Below are 5,614 nucleotides of genomic sequence, written 5' to 3' on the forward strand. Positions count from 1 at the left end.
TGTTATGGCAGCCCAAACAGGGTAAGACAATAGATGAATAAAAAATGTGCTTGTCTCGCAGTTTTCCAAGAAACATAAAAATAACGTTGGCTTCCAAGTGTCTATCAATGGACACTTTATAAATGGTTTTCACACCCAATTATTAAATTAGATCCTAACTGCAGATCCAAGTGGTACATTAAGGTATTAATTTTACAAAGGGAAAAAATGGAAGGTGATTTGCACAGTATCATCCTGGGAGTCAAAGTCTGAGCTTGTACCCAGATCATGTTCTTTGCATAACACTAAGCTGCTCTCACAAGTCAACCTTCACATTGTGATGTCTTCTGCAAATCTGATAAGGTTTCAATGTCTTCACACAAACATCTACCAAAGTGTTTAAAAGGGGAATTTTTAGTCATGCTTTCTAACCTAAAGGTGACAGATGGGTTTCATCTTGTAGTGACTGCTTGGCATTGGCTGCCAATCCTTTGTATTGAAAAAGATTCTGAGGTCATGCAACAAACAGTACCTAGATCAACTAACAATGTCTGCCATAAGCCCAGGAAGTAGAGTGTGCAGCTTGAGAACTTCGGATTACTGATGCTACTCCAACCCTCAGGATGAAATGGGATGTTTGTGGGTGAACAAACGAACCTTCCAGTGTGAGGAATAAAAATATTATAAATAAGGTTGGTCAAGGAGAATTTTTTTCTCTCTTAGAATTCTTATTTAATTCTCTCTGGTAGCATCTCTGTCTTTTCATTCTTCTCTGTTGCTGTGAAAAGTTAGGACCTCAAAACCAAATTCCAGAAGAAATTCCTCCCATGAAGCTTTATATAGAAGATAATGAGTATTTGAGGGAACAAAGACTTTAAGATTTTTACTGTAAATGCAGCAGCAGATTTCATGAAGGACTGATAAGGGGAAAAACTGGTTCTCAAGAACATTCCCAGCAACTGTTTCATAACTGTAGAACAATTGCACGTGTAATCAGAGAGTATACAACTTTGATTACAGTGGATTATACCAAGATACATAATAATTCTACTTTGATTATATGTCAGCAGTTAGGCCTCAAAGGCTTTTTTTAGATAATAATGACTACAAGTTTTACAGGAATAGATCCACGATAACAAGAGACATAAGGAACACGGCAAAAACCCTTTGTGACTGAGGAAGTGGTATCCTGCCCCTCTCCACTCCTCCATTTTAAATGGAGACAAATTCTTTGCAGAGGACAGTAAACCACAAAGCACATTCAGCTTTGAATTTGAATTCTTATCATTCAGTCTTGCATAAACTAGACTCATGCTTTCAAAACAGATACATCCCTAAAATTATTTAAGATGTAAAGTAGCTTAAATAAGACTGGCTAATTTGGCAATAGTTACTGGCAGACAAAACTTCACATAACTGCTTTTCTTACCTAAAGCTTATAAAATGCCACTTTCATTTACCAAAAATGGTGAAGGCTTTCTTATTATGGAAACCATATAGATAGATAGATAGATAGATAGATAGATAGATAGATAGATAGATAGATATAGATATAAATAGATATATAGATACATAGATATAGATAGATATATGGATATATATAGATAGCTATATAGATAGATATATAGAGATAGATAGATATAGATAGATATACATAGATAGATATAGATAGATATAGATATATAGATAGACATGTAACATCTTTTATGATACAATTAGAATGTTTTAATTTCTCATGCTTTTTTTTAAAGTTATGATTCTAGAAGTTAATGCTTTTTCCATTAACTTCTAAAGGCAATTTTCCTAAAGATCTTGCCTGAGCCGCCTTCTACCTGGGTGCTGTGATCCACATGTTCTTTACACCTAATATTTATGTTCCTGAGAAAGGCTCCCTGGTAAAGTAAATAATGCAGTTGAATTTCTAATATGGCTCTCTTAAAATGAAGGTAATAACTGTAAAATTGTGCACAAAGAAATTTAGCAAGCTTGTGGCTCTAGCATAAGCATGGAGATTTCATGTAAAAATGAAGTAAGGAAGATTCAAACCAATTGTTATCTCAGTGACAGGTTTCTCTTCACTAAAAACATGATGCTTTACCCTTATTTCATAAAATACTCATTTTGAAATAAACAATTGGTTTCTCAAATATTCCTTATTTGAAAATAGGGCTCAAAAAAGATAAGACAGAATTAATCTGAATTATAAAATTACACAAATGCCTCAAATTAATTTTTTAAAAGTCATAGAATTGGACACAAAATACTCCATTGTACTTATAGCAGATGTCAAGTTTTTGATGCAAGTTATCAGATTGAGAATAATACTATCTTAACTTTATAAGACACTTTAGTGCTCCCAACACCCACCTGCTTGTGGCCCAAGAGTCCAAAAGCTGAAGAACACGGAGTCTGATGTTTGAGAGCGGAAAGCATCCAGCGTGGGAGAAAGACGAAAGCCAGAAGACTCAGCAAGTCTGCTCTTCCCAACTTCTGCCTGCTTTATTCTATTGCATCGGCAGCTGATTAGATGGTACCCACCCAGATTGAGAGTGGGTCTGCGTCTCCCAGTCATGGACTCAAATGTTAATCTCCTTTGGCAACACACTCACAGACACACCCAGGAACAATACTTTGCATCCTTCAATCCAATCAAGTTGACACTCAATATTAACCATCACACACATCAAGTTAATTTCTAACTAGTTCCAAGTATAGCATTTTTAATCCAATCAGCCTGCTTTTACTGAAATTTTATCCAACGCCAAAATGAAAACGTGTTATTTATGTTCTCCATGATGTAACCACTTATTGCTTTTTCAAGTGACTTTTAAGTTTTATTTTCTGTGACATTCAACACTTGCAATTGAATGGTTGTGGTGGGGGAATAATGACTATAGCTGGGTTAAATTTATTTGCCTCCTTTCTTGTAACCAATTATCTTGCGTAACATTTATAAACAACTGAAACTAACATTGATTGAGGCTGTTTCAGGAATCTTTCCCAAATCTTCCCCAAACAGTTTTTCTGTTGTTCAACATGAAACTATTAAAAGAATGTCCTATAACATGAGACTTTAAGATTGCTATTTTTTTGAGGAATAAATAATTCTTTTATTATTATTATTACACTTTAAGTTTTAGGGTACATGTGCACAATGTGCAGGTTAGTTACATATGTATACGTGTGCCATGCTGGTGTGCTGCACCCATTAACTCGTCATTTAGCATTAGGTATATCTCCTAATGCTATCTCTCCCCCCTCCCCCCACCCCACAACAGTCCCCAGAGTGTGATGTTCCCCTTCCTGTGTCCATGTATTCTCATTGTTCAATTCCCACCCATGATCGAGAACATGTGGTGTTTGGTTTTTTGTCCTTGCGATAGTTTGCTGAGAATGATGGTTTGCGGTTTCATCCATGTCCCTACAAAGGACATGAACTCATTATTTTTATGGCTGCATAGTATTCCATGGTGTATATGTGCCACATTTTCTTAATCCAGTCTATCATTGTTGGACATTTGGGTTGGTTCCAAGTCTTTGCTATTGTGAATAGTGCCGCAATAAACATATGTGTGCATGTGTCTTTATAGCAGCATGATTTATAATCCTTTGGGTATATACCCAGTAATGGGATGGCTGGGTCAAATGGTATTTCTAGTTCTAGATCCCTGAGGAATCGCCTCACTGACTTCCACAATGGTTGAACTAGTTTACAGTCCCACCAACAGTGTAAAAGTGTTCCTATTTCTCCACATCCTCTCCAGCACCTGTTGTTCCCGGACATTTTAATGATCGCCATTCTAACTGGTGTGAGATGGTATCTCATTGTGGTTTTGATTTGCATTTCTCTGATGGCCAGTGATGGTGAGCATATTTTCATGTTTTTTTGGCTGCATAAATGTCTTCTTTTGAGAAGTGTCTGATCATATCCTTCGCCCACTTTTTGTTGGCGTTGGTTTTTTCTTGTAAATTTGTTTGAGTTCATTGTAGATTCTGGATACTAGCCCTTTGTCAGATGAGTAGGTTGCAAAATTTTCTCCCATTCTGTAGGTTGCCTGTTCACTCTGATGGTGCTTTCTTTTGCTGTGCAGAAGCTGTTTAGTTTAATTAGATCCCATTTGTCAATTTTGGCTTTTGTTGCCATTGCTTTTGGTGTTTTAGAAATGAAGTCCTTGCCCATGCCCATGTCTTGAATGGTATTGCCTAGGTTTTCTTCTAGGGTTTTTATGGTTTTAGGTCTAACATGTAAGTCTTTAATCCTGAATGACTACTGGGTACATAACAAAATGAAGGCAGAAATAAAGATGTTTGTTGAAACCAACGAGAACAAAGACACAACATACCAGAATCTCTGGGACACATTCAAAGCAGTGTGTGAGGGAAATTTATAGCACTAAATGCCCACAAGAGAAAGCAGGAAAGATCTAAAATTGACACCCTAACATCACAATTAAAAGAACTAGAGAAGCAAGAGCAAACACATTCAAAAGCTAGTAGAAGGCAAGAAATAACTAAGATCAGAGCACAACTGAAGGAAATAGAGACACAAAAAACCCTTCAAAAAATCAATGAATCCAGGAGCTGGTTTTTTGAAAAGATCAACAAAATTGATAGACCGCTAGCAAGACTAATAAAGAAGAAAAGAGAAGAATCAAATAGATACAATAAAAAATGATAAAGGGGATATCACCATCGATCCCACAGAAATACAAACTACCATCAGAGAATACTATAAACACCTCTACGCAAATAAACTAGAAAATCTAGAAGAAATGGATAAATTCTTCGACACATACACTCTCCCAAGACCAAACCAGGAAGAAGTTGAATCTCTGAATAAACCAATAACAGGCTCTGAAATTGAGGCAATATTTAATAGCTTACCAACCAAAAAAAGTCCAGGACCAGACGGAATCACAGTCGAATTCTACCAGAGGTACAAGGAGGAGCTGGTACCATTCCTTCTGAAACTATTCCAATCAATAGAAAAAGAGGGAATCCTCCGTAACTTATTTTATGAGGCCAACATCATCCTGATACCAAAGCCTGGCAGAGACACAACAAAAAAAGAGAATTTTAGACCAATATCCTTGATGAACATTGATTTAAAAATCCTCAGTAAAATACTGGCAAACCGAATCCAGCAACACATCAAAAAGCTTATCCACCATGATCAAGTGGGCTTCATCCCTGGGATGCAAGGCTGGTTCAACATACGAAAATCAATAAATGTAATCCACCATATAAACAGAACCAAAGACAAAAACCACATAATTATCTCAATAGATGCAGAAAAGGCCTTTGACAAAATTCAACAACCATTCATGCTAAAAACTCTCAATAAATTAGGTATTGATGGGACATATCTCAAAATAATAAGAGCTATCTATGACAAACTCACAGCCAATATCATACTGAATGGACAAAAACTGGAAGCATTCCCTTTGAAAACTGGTACAAGACAGGGATGCCCTCTCTCACCACTCCTATTCAACATAGTGTTGGAAGATCTGGCCAGGGCAATCAGGCAGGAGAAAGAAATAAAGGGTATTCAATTAGGAAAAGAGGAAGTCAAATTGTCCCTGTTTGCAGATGACATGATTGTATATTTAGAAAACCCCATTGTCTCAGCCCA

At 36.5% G+C, this 5,614-nt stretch overlaps 1 annotated feature.

The window, feature by feature from the left end:
* Nucleotides 267–326: an enhancer, noted in NCBI's record as "active region_20660". NCBI's record gives its function as "activates an Ori minimal core promoter by ATAC-STARR-seq in GM12878 lymphoblastoid cells {active_cell/tissue: GM12878}" and the evidence as "EXISTENCE:reporter gene assay evidence [ECO:0000049][PMID:35858748]".

Source organism: Homo sapiens, chromosome 3 (genome assembly GCF_000001405.40).
Source record: "Homo sapiens chromosome 3, GRCh38.p14 Primary Assembly".
Classification (NCBI taxonomy): domain Eukaryota; kingdom Metazoa; phylum Chordata; class Mammalia; order Primates; family Hominidae; genus Homo; species Homo sapiens.